The sequence below is a fragment of the Homo sapiens genome, chromosome 7 (assembly GCF_000001405.40).
Source record: "Homo sapiens chromosome 7, GRCh38.p14 Primary Assembly".
In the NCBI taxonomy this organism is placed as follows: domain Eukaryota; kingdom Metazoa; phylum Chordata; class Mammalia; order Primates; family Hominidae; genus Homo; species Homo sapiens.
In genome coordinates this window covers 45,392,253-45,409,935 of record NC_000007.14, presented here as the reverse complement: position 1 = coordinate 45,409,935, position 17,683 = coordinate 45,392,253, and the positions used below count along the sequence as shown (strand labels likewise).

General features: G+C 45.4%; 1 annotated feature.

Moving 5' to 3' along the window:
* Window positions 1,316-1,816: an enhancer, noted in NCBI's record as "H3K4me1 hESC enhancer chr7:45447719-45448219 (GRCh37/hg19 assembly coordinates)". NCBI's record gives its function as "activates a minimal SCP1, AML or CMV promoter by ChIP-STARR-seq in naive H9 embryonic stem cells {active_cell/tissue: H9 hESC(naive)}" and the evidence as "EXISTENCE:reporter gene assay evidence [ECO:0000049][PMID:30033119]".

Below are 17,683 nucleotides of genomic sequence, written 5' to 3'. Positions count from 1 at the left end.
AGATTTGTTTCAAGGTTTATGAAAGCTTCATCTGTGCTGAGGTGGCCTTATCTCCTAGAAATCCTGGGGCCAGGGTTGGAAATCCCCAAGCCAAGTTGCCTCATACTGCTAAGAAACACATAGTGTCAGCCCCGCAAGATGTTTCAGTGGGCCTTATGGCTATTGTTAATCTTACAGCCACAATATCTCTTATAGTATCCTACAAATCCACCAAAGATCTTTACAAATAAAAGCATAGACCTTCCTGTAGCATAGAAGGTCTAGGAAGGTCTAGGAAGCACAGACCTTCCTAGTCTAGTTAGGGAAAGTGCAGGAGGTAGCTGAGTGTGGTGGAAGAAAACGCTGTCTGACAGTCCCAACTGAATGCTCCCAGCCCAGTCTATACTGCCGGCAGGTGACTTAGGCCTAAGTCACCTGGTACCAAACCAGCTCCTACCTGGTCCTGCTGGGGTGCCCCTGTACCTTGCCCACATGTCCCCAAGTCCCTCCAGGACCAGTGCTGTTCCACAGAGAGGTCTGTCTGTAGTCACAAGAAACTTACCAGTCCTCTTCCCATTGTCTGACTCTCTTGGCAATTTCACCTAATGAAAATTATACCAAAGGAGATGAGAATAAATAAAGCAGGGTGGCCAATTACAAACCCAAGCCATGGATACTAAATCAAAGGCAAACTGAGAAATTTCTTTGCATTTAGTGAGCCTTAAAATTTTTGTGATGGTTAATGGAATTCTGCTGAGTTGAAGGCACTGTCTTTGATGCTTAGACCTCATGAAAATTCATTTGTGTGCTCAATGACATTAGAAAATACACTGATCTTTTTATGGGGTGTGCTTTATACAGATCCATAGCTGGTCAGACACAACGTCCCTGTTCCTACAGACTTGTAACAAACCACGCATGGTGATGATTCTTTTAAAACGTCTTACCTAAGAGTGAAATGACTGCCTTTTCGTTATATTTTCAATTTATTTCTGCCTCTTCCTTTTATGGTTTCTTTTGTTCAAAAATCAGCATTGCCTACAGAATAGAAAGATGCAAACACTGGCATTGTGAAGCACTAGGTTCCAGTAGCAGGCAAGTCTGAGCTCCCATTATATCACCTATGAAAAGTGGCAAGAAATAACCGTGTATTTGAGGGAGTTTTGTAAGCCTCGCGGGAGGAAATGCCTGTACAGCGCCATGTCCATGCATCTGCCTGAGGTTCTCCTGCCCTTTTTCCCTTGTCATTTTTGTCATTTTTAAACAGGAGATGGTCACCCTCATCTCCTTTCACCCCAGACAAAAGAGACGATGCAGGAAGAGGAGGACCAGATAGGAGCAAATTGGAAAACAGTAAAGGCTGAAAGAGGAGAGCACCAGGCACAGTGGCGCGGCCAGTGCGCAGCTCTGGGGACTCCCTCAGGCTGCATGGAGCATGGCGGGCCTGGTGCAGAGGAGGCTCCCAGGAGAGGCAAAGGGGTGTTGTTTTGATAAGGGCAGGAGTTTGGGGGCAGTTGCCTGGAGGGAACTGGAGGGGGAAGGGGGATTCAGCAGAGGCTGGACCGGCTCCCGCTTGCTAGCTACGCGCAGGAGGCTGTATCTCAGTTACTTGGAAGATGGAAGGATTGGCGAAGAGGCTGGAGGAACGCTGGGCTGCGTGCACCAGCCATCTGGAGCAGTAGCTATTCTGGGCCTGAAGCTGAAGAGACGGGGAGCAGGGTGTCCCCAGAGCCATGGAAGAGAGGGTGCTAGCAAGTGGAGGAGGTTGGAGGGAAGGAGCAGAGGGGCGGAAGGCGGAGGCTCCCGGGGCTTGGAAGCAGATGGGTACTGCGGAAAGGTAACCAGTGTTTGTTGGTTTCTGCGGAGGTAGCCTGGTGCAGCCAAGTCCTACCGAGGCCCCGCATGGTCACAGCATCCCCACCAGGCAAGAGCAGGGCCTGTGGAGCCTCTCCTGCAACTCCACAGCGATGAGAGTGCTCCCTCTACCTTTGGGACGCGGAAGGGCTGGGGGAGGGGTTCTGCCTTTTCAATTTATAGGAAACACATTAAATGCCCCTACCGTGGCAGCCCTTTGAGGAGAGAGTCGGCCATGTGCTGTCCACGTGCTCAGCGCTGACACTGACCCAGGAGAAAACAAGACCAGGGAGTGCCATCGGCGGCGCCCCTGCTGAAGAAGTCCCTGATGGTGCCGCAGCTCTGGCCCATCTCAAACTCCACCCTTGTGCGACCAGAGAGCAGAGCCTGCTACTCGTCCTTCCTATCCCATCTCATTGCCTTCTAATCACCACAAAATAAAAAAGCAAATAAAATGAAGTTGAGCCTTCTCAGAAATAGCAGATTAGAAGATGCTGTTAAAATAAAAGCTTTAAATACATGAGGAAAACAAGCTTAAAGATTCATAGTGAGTGATGAAAGTGGTTTAAATTCCATTTTTATTAAAAACAAAATACAAAGAAATGCAGCTTTCTGCATGAAATGTCACAGACACTCACTTTCAAATCTTCATTTAAGTCGTCTCTTCCCGAAATACCCTGTTCATACTGCTACCTGCATTGCAGTATTATGTTTCTGGAAGAGCAAATTCCATAAAGATACGCAGTCTTTCTGAATTAGCATAGAGATTTAATGCAATTGCACTCCAATGGAATTCATTTGAACTAAAAAATATGCTCCTAAAATTCATCTGAAAGACTAAATAATGAGATTGCTGAGAAACTTTTAAAAATGAAAAGTAATAAGAGAGCTCGTCCTTTACAATAACTTTAAATGATTAGTTAAAAAACAGAAAAGACCTTTTTTTAAAAAAAAAAAAAAATAGCATTTAAAGACTCTCAGTTATGTCCAGAAGGGTGCTGCAAACCTCTGCCTCAGGAAGCAGGTGTGCATCTGGACTCCCTCCTCTGCGTCTGCCTGGTTGTAAGTCCTGCCTCTTTAGCCCCCAATGGCGGATGTCCTCTGAGTGGTCATGGATGCCGGAGTGTCCAGATGTGCCCCATAGACAAGATACAGCTGCTGTTTCCCTTGATTTCAATGCAAATGCACCCTTGTATTCACACTGCTCCCTACTGTGCCTATTTTAAGGTGGGAGGTTCTGTCCTTATGGACAGAATGGAGAGGTTTCTGCCTAACTTTTGAGTTCCAGAAAATTCCTTTGAGTTTAGTTATTCTGAAAACAGGTGATTTGGAAACAAAGCCCTATCCTCACTTGCCCTGCCAAGTAGGATAGTCTTTCCATGGTTGGACAGAGCTTTAGGGAACAGGTACTGAGCTGTAATTCTGATTTCCAATCTAAGGGGGGGTTAGTGTTAACATTAATTGTGTCCAGACAGTACCCTAGTCATTTTGTCACTGTTACGGTGACTGTGTGAAACGTACATACATGTTGAGTGGTGTTGGATGTTTGGGCTCTGGGCCTTGCAGGATTTGCCACAGGGCATCAGGGGGCAAGGGTTAAGTATGGGGTCCAGAATGTGCCATTGCCTTGAGGAAGGAGTATTCACCTCAACACTTGGGAATCCTGCTTTACAAGAGACCTGTCCTTTCTCACCCATCTATTCATTTACCCAATCATTCACATCAGTGTGGACTCAAGGTTATAAATATTATACTTTGGATTAAAGCACATTATTTATTTTGTTGCACAAGTTGTTGCAGCATTGGCCATTGGGAGCTCTTTTGGAGTCTAGAGTACTAGCCACTACACCGTGGAACCTCACCATTGGGAGTTATTTTAGTTGGCCCCTGTGTCCCTTTGACATGCCTCCGTTGTTTTTCTTTGTTTCATTTTGCTTTTTGAAGCATTTCCTTGCTTTTTCAATGCAAGACACTGCAGGAGAATCTTGTATGTTCCCTGCCCCAGCCCTGGTGTCATCCATTCCTTTAAGGATCCCTGATTGCTTTTCCTGAAGAGTGATATCAGAAACCAAGAAGTGGGCACTGGGTGTGCTTGTTGATAAAGAGGTATCATTGGTTCTAGACCTTCCTAGGAGACAGAGCTAGGAATCATGTGTGTGTAATCCATGAACACACATGTACACAATGCATCCATCCATATCTTTCTTAGGCTAAACAAGAGTTCATAATTATGTCTTCAATTTTTGTGCAGTACCACTTGGCTTATTCTAACCATCTCCCCCAGCTTTTCAGGGACATCTAACTCTGTAAGAAGTCTGCTCCCACCATCTACCATCCATTGACTTAATTCTTCAGGTCTGGTGCCCATGTGTAGTGGCTTTAGAACTGTTAACCCATGTCACCTTCTGAGAAACAACTGCACCAATTAAAATGCCATCCTTATATACAGTTCCTTTTGACTTTAGCCTTACAAACTTCTCTCATTTCCAAAGTTTCTTAGATAGCACCTTTGCCCCACTCCCTTCAGTGAAGTTGTTTCAAACATTTGTAATCTAGCCAAATGATTATGTCATATTCTGCACTTCCTCCTGGGGAAAATACACCTGAGCTGTGATCCAATATTAGAAGCCCACTGCTGTTACTAAAGTCCTGCCTCCAAATATCCATAAAGCTGGTAAAAGGACCCTGGACTACTGCTATTGAAAAATCTCCTATTTTTTGCCAACAGAAACAGCTGAAACAAAAGAAAGAGGACCCCTGAATTTCTTTTGTACCTTGCATGAATGCATCTAATTGGTGGAAACTAATTTGCACTTGGAACAGGTGCAAAGCAATTTAAAAGTTTAATTTTTGCTTCCCAGACTCTGTAATAGAAGAAGACATACCTGGCAAGAATTGGAATGACTGTGGGTGTCAATTCACCATCTCCACCACAGGTAACCAATGTGTAGTGGGAACTCCAGGCAGGAGGCAATTGTAACAATCCAGGTGAGAAATGATGGTGGCTTGGAATAGGATGACGACAGCAGGTGCAGAGATAGTGAACAAATTCAAGAATTAAGTTGTACGTTGTAATCCCAGCACTTTGGAAGGAGGATCACTTGAGCCCAGGAGTTCGAGGTTATAGTGATCTATGATTGCACCACTGCACTCCAGCTTGGATGACAGAGCAAGACTCTGTCTCTAAAACATAAAATTAAAATTTAAAAAACTCCCCAGTTGGCAGGTGTTGCAACTCTTGAGTCTAAGATTTTATCACTTTAGACACTTGTTCTATTGCCCAAGTCATGACCATGTGCCTGGAGCATGCACCTCATTCCCAGCTCAATTGTGCTTTGGCTCCCACAAGACCAACAAGAAATCTCATATATATCTCGGTGATTCCTATTTCAAAGATGAAAAATGTCTTGTGCAACTGAGTAAGGATCCTTGGAGTCTGCCTCTGGAAGTTTCATACCTTCCCATGCTTGCCTTTGCTTCCTTCCTCCCACAGTATCCTTTAACTTCATTTACAATACATGGAGCCTGCTAAGTCCTTTCAATGATCTAACTCCATGAAATTGCAGCACCTGCAGTTAAGTTTCAGTTGGGGCCACTGAATCTCTCATACAGGTGTTTTTTCTTTCTTTTTTTAAACCTTTGATTCAAGGAGGGAATTGGGTAAGAGCAGAATTCAAATCCCTTTCTTCCCAGAAGGATCTCTTCCATACAAATTTGTTTCTGTGTTTTGGGGGAAGGGGCCATCTAGTCTTATCTTTTAGCAACTAAGGCCCCAATTCCAAAGGAAATGTTGGAGGATGAGGTGATAATTCACCCCCAGCAGGGTCTGAATCTCAAGCCCTTACACAGCAGAAGGTCCTGCTTCTCCATGTGATCAGTGGGGTCCCACAGGCAGTGGGATATTTAGGCAGATTACATTTAGGAGGAACAAGGAGAACTTATATCTGCTGATAAAATGATCTCTGAAGCTGGCATTTGTTGTGGCAAGTTGGCTATAAAGGGACCAGGAATCTGGTCTCTTCCATGTCCCACTGCTGATCTGGCTCAGGCTAGGTATAAAAGATGATGCCAGGTTTTAGTGTCTGCAGCTGGTTACGGAGTTCAATTTCAGGCTGCCATTTACTGAGACAAGAATGGCTGTGAGGGGGTAGGGGGCATAGGAAGGAGGTGTGGAGACAGCTAAAATTCAGAGATTAAGTGTGAACACTTACATGTGCAGTGTGTCTCAGGGTTCCAAGTGGAGATGGAAGAGTGGAGTCTGAAGTTGGGAAGGAGTTCAGGTAAGTGGTATAGATGAGTGTCATCATTGCAGCTGATAGTGTTCAAAGCCATTGGATAGTATGAGATCACCTGGAAGGTGAATATGGAAAGAAAAGAGAAGAGGCCTGAGGACTGGGTTCTGGGGACCTCCACCTTTTTGAGGTTAGTAAGTTAAGAAGAATCTAAGACATTGATAATGACAGTGTTACAAGTCCACCAGCTTTGTATGCCCACTGCCCAGTAACAAACCAATACACCGAGACAGCAGGATTTGCAGCAGAGGAAGAATTTAATGGTCATAGAGCAGCCAAGCAAGGAGATAGGAGGGACTCTCAAATCCATCTCCTGGGCTGGGGACAGTGGCTCACACCTATAATCCCAGCACTTTGGGAGGCCAAGGCAGGTGGATCACCTGAGGTCAGGAGTTCAAGACCAGCCTGGCCAACATGGTGAAACCCTGTCTCTACTAAAATACAAAAATTAGCCAGGTGTGGTAGCACACACCTGTAGTCCCAGCTCCTTGGGAGGCTGAAGTAGGAGAATCGCCTGAATCCAGGAGGTGGAAGTTGCAGTGAGCCAAGAAAGCACGACTGCACTCCAGCCTGGGTGACAGAGTGACTCCATCTCAAAAAAGAAAACAAAAAAAAAGAGAAATCCATGTCTTGGAGGAGTTCTGGGCTGGGTGTTTTAAGAGGGCAAGGGGCTAGAAGATTGGAGTCATTGTTGGTCAGGGTATGGGGAATAAAATCATCAGGATGTGGAAACTGCGTTGTTTGGTGAGTCATCTCCTTGTGGGCTCCTTCAGACCACTGGTGTCAGTAGTTTCACTATTATGCAAGACCTTGAAAGAATATCTCCTTGAAAGAAAACTTCACATTTCACAGTGCTTAAGTTGTTATGTATAGGGCAGTTAAGGTGAACTCTAATCTCGTGAGAGGGTCCTCATGATTCTGGGGCAATGGGCACTGAACAACCATGAGGAAGCAGGTCAGAAAGCAGGCTGACCTATGGATTAATGCTGAATGTGCTGCAAGCTTGGTTTATTTTTATTTCTTCCCCTCTTTCTTCCCTGATTAATCTTGTAAAGTTTATTGGGATGGTTTCAGTAGTGCAGAGGGCAGTGATGGTGGTTCAGTAGGTTGTGTGCTTCTGAACTTCATGGTCCTGGAAATGGGACTGAGACAAATTGATTCATAATCTAACAACTTTATTACTCTTTCATTATGTCCCACAGCATGTGAAGAACCCTCCAAATTGAGTTACATAGGAGTCTTTCTCATAGCTCTCTGATCATAATTTTTTCCATACTTGAATGAATTTTTAAATACATGCAATAAAAAGCATGGCTTGCTACCAGACACTGGGAGATCAGCAGACACTGGGAGATCAGAATTATGTTTTTGAGTCTGCTAACATAGACTCTTGGGGTGATCCGTTAGCTTTAATTTTGTCTCCAGACACCAGACACCTCTTCCTCCACCCTGCAATACACAGCTAATTCTTTAAATTACATCTGTTAAGCTGAGATGATTATCCAACTGGTTAAAATGATAAGGAGTTATCCTAATGAAAGTAAATATCCTGCCAACAATAATTTCTTTCTTTGAATGCAGTGCTTGGTTTTCCCCTACTTGGATTTCACAGTGAGGATTGGCCTGTTTGGAAATCCAACATGGCAAGAGAGAAAATTATTTTGGGTCAAGTGGTATCTACCCTGTGCATGGCTGTGTCCAATTGGGAATCATTTCCAGTAACACAGCCATGCTAACTTCCATAACTGGAAAAGGGGCACAGGAAAGCACAGATGTTGTACAGATGCTGTGTAACAGAGGTCTCACAGACTTGAAAATAAGTGTCTAAAGAAACCAGCCCACAACAGTGTAGCGCTTTGGAATGTGTCTCCTGAAATAAACAAGCCATTAAAAAAATAAAATTATAATTACAGAATCTGTGCTGGCCAGAGAGGTATCTTGAGAAATTAAATTTTGAGTGAGTCCTGAGCTACATCACGATGCTTCTGTAGACTCGGGGATGGTAAGTGTGAGAAGAAAACTCTGATTTTAGGCAGCTCTCTCTCTCACTTTCCTGCCAGCTCCTTTAGTGGGAACCCCATGTCCTCCCGGGTCTGAAATGCCAGAGGTGTGGCTGGTTCCACACTCCATTGCCACTGGCCGCAGAAGCAGCCTGGCCATTTTCCTCCATGTGCTCTCCAGCGCGTCCACATAGACCAAGCCAGGGTCTCCTACCTTGTTCAACATACTCTTCTCTATTGTTGCAATCCAGGTTCTATTTGGCCTGCTCAGCAACTTCCTCTATGGGGGGACCACACATAAGCCTATGGTTCATGGAATTTTCTGCTGTTAAGCCACACCTATTCTTGCCCATGACCATGTGACGCTCAGGGCCCTGGTCCTCAGCAGTGAGATCAGGGTATCAGGACCAGGAGTAAATCTGGGCTTGCCCCAGGGTCTGGCTTCGCATGTCTACTGCCACCCCAGGTTACACAGATGGCTTATCTATAGAGTGAAGTGCTTGGGGTTGATAGCCCCTAAGTCTCCCTCCTGCCTTGATCTGCCCAGCTGGAGGCCATGCTCAGGACCCAGGGTTGAATGATTTGGTGGCCCCCCTCCACCATCCTCCTGCACTGAGCTCCATATGATGACCACTTGGGGATCTTGCCATTTCCTGAATGTGTCTTGTTCTTAAGTCCTGCCACCTTGGCTTCTGCTGTTCTTGCTGCCAGCATTGCTATTCCACTCACCTTTGTTCTGATGAAATTTTACTCTTCTGCAGAGCCTGGAGTCCCCAGCAGAGTCATGCTTTATCCCTTCCACGGGTCCCATTGTCATGGGATTCTTGGGGTGTTGCTTCGCCAGCCAGAAACCTCTGTGGCCGGCAGCACCTTCTGCCTGAGTATTGCTCACACCTGCTGTGCCTGTTCCTCCCACTCAGCCCAGCAGGCTGCACTCGGCTGGAGCTACTGGCCTGGATCGCACACCTGCCAAGGGTGAGCCAGGCAGAGTGGTGAGGGGTGTGTGGGCAAGCAAGTGCTGGGTCAAGCCACAGGCATGCCGGCTGCTGTAGGAGGGCAAGCAGCTCCAAGAGCCAGCACAGGTACTGGCTCCACGTAAGGCTGTGGCAGGACCAGATGTACTGCACACAGCTTCTGCTGCAGGCACCCCTATCTGGATGAGGGGAACGCAGTGGTACCTGGAAGCTTGGAGCCACCAGGAACCACAGAGCCCCAAAGAGGATGTCACAGCCCTGGCTCAGGGAGGCCCTAGGTCTAGGCTCCCTGAAAGGCCGCAGCTCTTCTCTCCTTCTTATCACCTGAATGTGCTGAGGTGGCAGAGTGAGGGAGGGGGGTATTCAGTCCTGTTTGTGTTACAGCTCTTTCAGTCCTGCCATTTGGTGGGTCCCAAGTTCTTGGCCCGGATCCAGGAAGAATGAGGTACACAGACAACTGGAAGGTGAGCAAGGCAGAAAGGAGCTTCATTGAGCAACATAACGGCTCTCAGGACACCCAAAGTAGGTAACCTTTCCGCAGGCAGGTCATCCCAATGTCTGTAGCCCTCAGCAAAGAGGAAAACCAGAGATAGGTAGCTCCTATCCACAAGCAGGTCATCCCAACATCTCTGTGTATCTGGCTGGTTGGGGTCGGGGGGTGGTGGGGGAGGTTTATGGGCCTCAGAAGGGAGGAAGTGTGTGCTGATCAGTCTATGGGTGGCCATGGGCGGACCTGGAAAAAGCACCGTAAGTTCTCACTCTGGGCCACAGACTCCATGGGGAACTAACATCCCAGCTCCCATGCTTCAGGCCATCCCTGGCCTGAAGGTGGGGCTTCACCGGAAACCCACTCTTTTCTTTTTTTTTTCTTTTTTTTTTTTTTTTGAGAAGGAGTTTCGCTCTGTCGCCCAGGCTAGAGTGCAGTGGCGCGAGAGATTCACGCCATTCTCCTGCCTCAGCCCCCTGAGTAGCTGGGACTACAGGTGCCCGCCACCACACCCAGCTAATTTTTTGTATTTTTAGTAGAGACGGGGCTCACCATGTTAACCAGGATGGTGTCGATCTCCTGACCTTGTGATCCGCCCGCCTCGGCCTCCCAAAGTGCTGGGATTACAGGCGTGGGCCACCGCGCCCGGCCGAAACCCACTCCTTTCTACCCAGGAGCCTGTCTGACTCCTACCGCCATCAATCCTGTCGTCCATGGTACCCAGGCTGTTCGTTCTGAGGGGCACCTACAGGCCGGTGAGGAGCCTCCTTCAGTTCCTCTCGGCCTTTCTCCCATGCTTGTCAGCGCCCAAAGTCTGGAGGAGGCCAAGGCAGCAGGGGGCTGGCGTCTCAGCACCACCCCAAGTACGCGTACACCTGGCAGGATCACAACAGTGCCCAGGCTCGGCCTCAACTTCGCTCCAAAATCAGAGCGGGAACCGGGAGTGAGGAGAGGCCAGGCAGTGGGAGCAGGTACTTCTGAGCCTGCAGGGGGAGGGGGTGCTTCCTGGGCCCCCCAAGAGTACAGGGATGCCCAGGTCCCCAGCCTGGGCTGGGTAGCTGCAGTTGCTCCCGGGAGGGCGGGGCTCCCAACCCGCCAACTTGGAAGGAGGCGGGGCTCCGACCTGTTCCTGGCTCCCCCCGGCTCCATGGAGCACACAGCCCTGGCCGCACCTTCCCCACTGCAGCCAGCATCTTCGCAGTGGCTGCTCCAGACGGGCCACCGCTGCCGTCATCACTGTGCCCTCCATTACTCATTCATGGGACTGCTTCCTCTACATGCTTAACCACATGGGGACAAGTTTTTTGTCATGTTTTCCTCCCTGCTTCCAGCATAAGGCTTGGTGTTCATCTCATGAACTTGAGATGAGTGAATGAAGGCACGAATAAAAAATAAATACTAACAATTGACTAGTTGGCACTGTTTATCTTGTCCAGGAAAGCCCAACCACTGTGAAGGTATCAGAGGTTCAGAGGCCCTTCTTCCTGTCATGACCCCAACTTTGGCCTCCTCACCTTTAAAATAGGGATAATAATCCCTGCCTTGCCAGGTGCCTTAGGGATGAGTGGTAACGTGAACATCACCTGGTTCTTGGCAGGTTACTCCAACCTCAGAAGAAACAGTAAAGGAAAGGGAGTTGCTATCATAATCTTGTGGGGCTGAGATTGTGAGAGTCACCCATGGCCTCAGAGCAGCAAGAAGGCTTACCGACCCACAGAAACCCCCAGAGACTTGCTTCTAAGACCAACACTGGGCTCTATTTTAGTAGCAGGAATCTGAAGGTACTGTTTAAATTGCTGGAGAGCAGAAGTCACAGATCCCCTGGAATTGTTCATCTAAAGCTATTTTTCACAGGAAGAGATGAGAGTCTTCCTCGAAGCTACTTTTAAGCAGTTCCACGGACAGCTTCCTGGACTTCTGAATTCCTGCAAACCCATTCATCTAGATGTATCTTGACTTGTCCTTTCATGAGACCTTCCCTGAGCAACCACTGTATGAGCTCTGAGGAGCCACAGGACTCAGCCTTGTGGGTGGGGGTAGGCTTTCCACCTGTCAGAGGCCTCTGGGGGCTCTGCCTGCTGCCACTATGTGTACAGAAGGTAGGGTCCCTCCTCCTTAGCACTGATTGTTACAAGGAAAGGAAAAACCCCTGCCTCAGAGAAAGGGTTCTCCTTGAGTTTGTGTTGGAATGATACAAAAACTATGAAGGGATGACATGAATAGGGTGGGGCTCAGAGGCAATACCAAGGTGTAGAAGCCAAGATTGAGACTGGTACATGCACTAGAATGAGATGATGACAAAAGACTCTGCCCTCCTTTCTGTAAAGGTAGCACATCTCAAAAAGAAACCTTAGCATTTCACAATGCTGAAGTTGTGATCTATAGGGTACTTAAGGTGAACTTAACTTGTGACAGGGTCTGTATGATTCCAGGGCAATAGGCACTGAACATCTATGAGGAAGCATAGATGTTCCCAATCCCATTGGCATGTCGACTGTTATCTCAGAAGATTAATTTCTGTCGATCCATTTCAATAACTGTAGACTGAGCACATGCTCTGGGGCAGCCACTGTGTTGAGCATTCAGGGATGCAAGATGCATAAGACACACCCTGTTCTAATGAAAAACTCTGGATTCCAGGCTTAGCCTGAGGGCTACAACTGTGCCCACTACAGTAGCCCCAAAGCCAAGCCTCTGGCAGCTGTTGACCAGGTCCATGACCTAACCCTGGCCAATCAGATAACTTGAAAATGGAGGCCAGGCACAGTGGCTCATGCCTGTAATCCCAGCACTTTGGGAGGCCAAGGCAGGCAGATCACTTGAGGTCAGGAGTTTGAGACCAGCCTGGCCAACATGGTGAAACCCTACTAAACTCTACTAAAAATCCAAAAAAATTAGCTGGGCTTGGTGCCAGGTGCCTGTAGTCCCAGCTACTCGGGAGGCCTAGGCAGGACCCGGGAGGTAGAGGTTGTGCCGAACCAAGATGCCAAGATCACACCACTGCACTCCAGCCTGAGTGACAAAATGAAACTCTGTCTCAAGAAAGAAAGGAAAGAAAGAAAGAAAGAAAGAAAGAGAAAAGGAAGGAAGGAAGGAAGGAAGGAAGGAAGGAAGGAAGGAAGGAAGGAAGGAAGGAAGGAAAAGAAAGAAGAAAGAAAAAGAAAGAAAGAAAAGAAAGAAAGAAAGAAAAGAGAGAAGGAAGGAAAGAAAGAAAGAAAAGAGAGAGAGAAGGAAGGAAAGAAAGAAAGAGCAAGCTGGGAAAAAGGAGATTTTGATGTGTTGGTGGCAGTGTTGTTTTGCCTGTGGTTCAGGTTCCTGCCCTCCCTTTGCTTCTGTTTATTTCCCAATCTGCCAAATATCCTTTCAATGAATCCTTGTCTGATTGAATCAGAGTCAGTTTCTGTTCCTTGCAACTAGGGCCTCATCTCATTTAGGACCCTAACTCATACAACATATTCTCAATTAACCCCAGTTTTCCCTAAAGCTTTGGTAAGAGCCACAGTTGTTCTGGGGAAAATTGGGAAAGTATGCACACACTTCAGATGAAGTGGCAGAGGAGAGGACTGTGTCCCCTTGTTAAGGGAGCATTCATCCACAGTCTCCAGAGATGGCAGATAGACCCTAAAGAGTGGTCATATTATAGAATCTTTAGACATGGAGCAAGAAGAGGAAGCCATGGTGGGCCATGACTCCCGTGGGATACTTCTTTGTCCTGGTGAATGGTCTAATGCCTAAGTATTGGATCCAAGACCAGGTATCTCTCCCACAGGAAACTTGTTTATGCTGGCAGGCTTGTGGCTCTTGTCTTACCTGTGTCCAGTTAATTACTACCAAGATAGCCACTCTCCAGGAAAGCCTTGACCAGAGAAGAAGTTATATTTGGGCAATTCATCAAAACACACAAAATAACAGAAGCAGTTTATTACTTACAAATCTAGAGAGAAAAGGGCAGGACACATCACCAGGACTGATGGGAAGAAGACAGTCATCCAGGAAACACACACTCAACCTCTGGGTGAGGAGCAAGAGAGAGGGACTTGTGGGCAGAGGCTTTGGGGTCCAGGACATTACCAAGGCAGGTTTCCCAAGGTGAGTCCTAATTGAGTTTAGAGAAAGCAAGCACCAGCTCCATGGAGTCACACTGCGACTGAGAGGTGGTCATTGTGACATATCTGCACAGTCCATACGCGGTGTGGGAGTCATCAGGGTGAGTCAAGTAGGTTGTATCCAGCTGTCCCACAGGGAGGTGGTCACCAGGAGGTGGTTACATACGGCAGAGGTCTGGATTGATCACCTTGAGAAACTGGGAGGAGGTAGAGAAATGGAAAATATGTCAAGAGTTACTTTTTGCCAAAAAGAAGTCCAACTTATATTCAAAATGAATGCCGGGGCAACATATAGGAAGTCACTACAATAAGACGGCTGACATGACTATAGAAATATCAGACAAAATAGGCCTTAAGGTGAAATAATTGACTAGGCATGGTGGCTCATACCTGTAATTCCAGCACTTTGGGAGGCTGAGGTGGGTGGATCACTTAAGCCCAGGAGTTCAAGACCAGCCTGAGCAACATGGTGAGAACCCTCTCTACAAAAAGTACAAAAATTAGCCAGGCACGGTAGCAGGCACCTGTAGACCTAGCTACTTGGAATGCTGTGTGGGAGAATCGCTTGAGCCCAGGAGGCAAATGTTGCAGTGAGCCAAGATTGTGCCACTGCACTCCAGCCTGGGTGACAGAGTGAGACCCTGTCTAAAAAAAAAAGATGAAACTTTTTATGAGAAATAAAGGGTCATTTTACAATGGTGAAAGAGTGAATTCATCAGGAAGGTATAATAATTATAAACATATATGCATTTAACAGAACCCCAAAATATGAAAAAGTAAACCCCAACGGAACTCAAGGGAAAAAATAAATAATTCAACAATAATATTTAGAGACTTCAATACCTCACTCTCAATAATGGACAGGACAACTAGACAGAAAACCAAGGATACAGGAGATTGGTGCAACCCTGTCAAGGAACTTCTTCTCAAGCACACACAGAGCAGTCTGCAGAAAACACCATGTGGTAGGCCATAAAACAACTTGGGAGCAATTGCAGAACCATCTGCTGCTTCACACCAGTGAGGTAAATAAGCAAATGAACAACAACAACAAGACTATGGAGGCCCCAGTATGTAGAAAGGTCTACAACTTCCCTTCCACACTGCTGCTTGGAGTTTCTAAACTCAGGGAAGACTTAGGTCCTCCTATTAAGGGCTTGCAACTACTTAAATCAGATCCACCCAGAATAGTCTACCTTTTGATTAACTAATGTCAGCTGACTTTAATTACATCTGCAAAATTCCTTCACAGCAGCAGCCGGATTAGTGTTCAATTGAATAATTGGGAGAAGGTGTACAAATGGCTGCTTCCTCTCTTACCTCCTCCAGCTTTCACAAGGGAATATCCCTTATAGTCCACCCTAATCAGAAAGATACTAGAAAGGAACTGGGGAATGTAATATAACAGATGAAAACATTACATTAATAATTCAAGATATTCCCACAAGAAAAGCCCAGGCCCAGATGGCCTCATTGTTGAATTCAACCAAACATTTAGAAAATAAATAATACCAATTCTTTACAAACTTTTCCAGGAAGTAGAGGAGGAGAAAGTAGCTCCCAGCTCATTCTATGAGGCCAATCTGTGAGACATCATAAGAAAAGACAACTGTGGGAGTTCAGTCAGGCTGGTAGGAAAAAATTTAAGATGAAGTTAAAGGATATAAATACAAACCCTCTTGGAAGGCCTGGAGGTTTACATAAAGTGTTTGGCTGAAGGCAGCAAATCCACTTAATAGCTTAGGGCATAGATACATAGGAATGTAGAGGAGTTTATCTAAAGAGCTTGTTTACTCATGTGGTCCTAAAACTAACCTTTGATCACTCACCGGCAAGATAGCTCTCCCAGGGTGGGGGCGACCAGATTAATTATCCACAGGTGTGTTGACTCAAAGCCTTTGTCATTAAATCTGTGCTAAATAAATGCCCACAGGGCCAGCTAGTCAGGGCATTGGCTGCTGACTCTTTACAGCATCTTCCTTGGTGACTGTGAGTGACTCAGACTCCTAGCTGCTTTCTCACTGAATAGCGGTGTCTGGGTACATTATTCATCTGTCGTGCAACCTGGGGTCTGCAGGACAGACCCCCCACAGACAATTATAAACTAACATTCCTCATTAATATGGACACAAAAGTCCTCAACAAAATGTTAACAAACCAAATCCAGAAACATATAAAAAGGATTATATTCATCATTGGGTGGGCTTTGCTTCAGGAATTCAAAGTTGGTTTAATAATTAAAAATCAATTAATACAGAAAATAAATAGAATAAAGCGGGGGAACCCATGATGCAGAGAAAGCATCTGACAAAATGCAACACCCACCTAAAATACAAACTTTAGACAAACTAGCAATGGAAGGGAACTTCCTCAGCTTGATCAAGGACATTTATGAAAAGTCCATCGCTACCTAGATGATGGGTTGATAGGTGCAGCAAACCACCATGGCTCATGTATACCTATGTAACAAACCTGCACATTCTGCACATGTATCCCAGAACTTAAAGTAAAATTTAAAAAAAAAAATCCTTCACTAATACCATGCTTACAAATCAAGGAGCAAATGTTTTCTCCCTAACATCAGGAAATGGCAACAACATCCAATCACACCACTTTTATTCAACATTGTATAGGAAGTTCTAGCCAGTGCATTAAGGCAAGAAGAAGGAATAAAAAGCATCCAAATTGAAAAAGAAAAAAGAAAAACTGTCTTTATGCACAGATGACATGGTCCCATATGTGTAAATCCTAAGTAATCCACACCCCACAAAGAAATCCCTATAAGACCTAATGAACAAGTTCAGCAAGGTTGCGTGATACAAGATTGCTATATAAAATTCAATTGCATTTTTATATACTAGCAATAAAGAATATAAATGAAATTAAATTTCTATTCACAAAATCATCAAAAACATTAAATACTTAGGGATAAAAATGTAAAAGAAAGTATAAGACTGTAAATATTTCTGAGAGAAATTAAGGAAGATCAAAATAAAAGAGGAAATGCTCTATGTTCATGGATTAAAAGGCACAATATCATTAAGATGGCAATTCTTCCCAAATTGATCTATAGATTTAACATAAACCCTATAAAACCCCAAGAGGCTTTTCTGTAGAATGAACAACTTAATTCCCCAAAACAGCAAATCAGTCTTGAAAAAAAAAAAAAAAAGAACAAAGAGGACTATGCTTCCCGATTTCAAAACCTACTATAAATCTAAATCATCAGTACAGTGGTGCTTGTATAAGGATAAGTGTGCCAACCAATGAAACAGAACAATAGGGTCCAGATAATCTACAGAACAGAATAAAATAATGAGCCTTTATAGTTATGGTCAGCTAACATTCAACAAAGTTGTCAGAGCAATTCAGTGGAGAAAGGAATTTGCAACAAATGATACTGGAGAAATTGAATATCCACATGCAAAAAGATAAAAATCTAAACTCCTACTTAACGTCATACGAATAAAGTAACTCAAAATGTATCATAGACTTAAGTATAAGAGCTAAGCCCGTAAAACTTTTGACACAAAACAGGAAAATCTTCATGACCTTGGGTTAGGCAGAGAGGACTTAGATATGTCACAAGCATGATTTATAAAAGAAAATAATGGATCGATTGGACTTCATCAAAATTCAAAACTTTTTATTTCAAAAGACACCATTAAGTAAATGAACCACAGATAATTTTGTTCAGTCTGTGGTTTATTCAAATGGTTTGATAAATTGGAGCAGTTTATTAAACCATTTGAATAAACCACAGGCTGAACAAAATTATTTGTAAATCATCTATCTTATAAAGAACTTCTATTCAGGATATTAAAAGAACGCTTAAAACTTAATAAACACAAAATAAATACTCGGGCTTCAAAACTGCTGCTGCTGCCGCCACCGCCGCCTGGGAACCAGGGCCTGGGGTTGGTGGGGCCCTGCATGGAGCGCCGGTCCCCCGGAACTGCGGACATTGCCAACGCCCACCACGCAGCGCGCT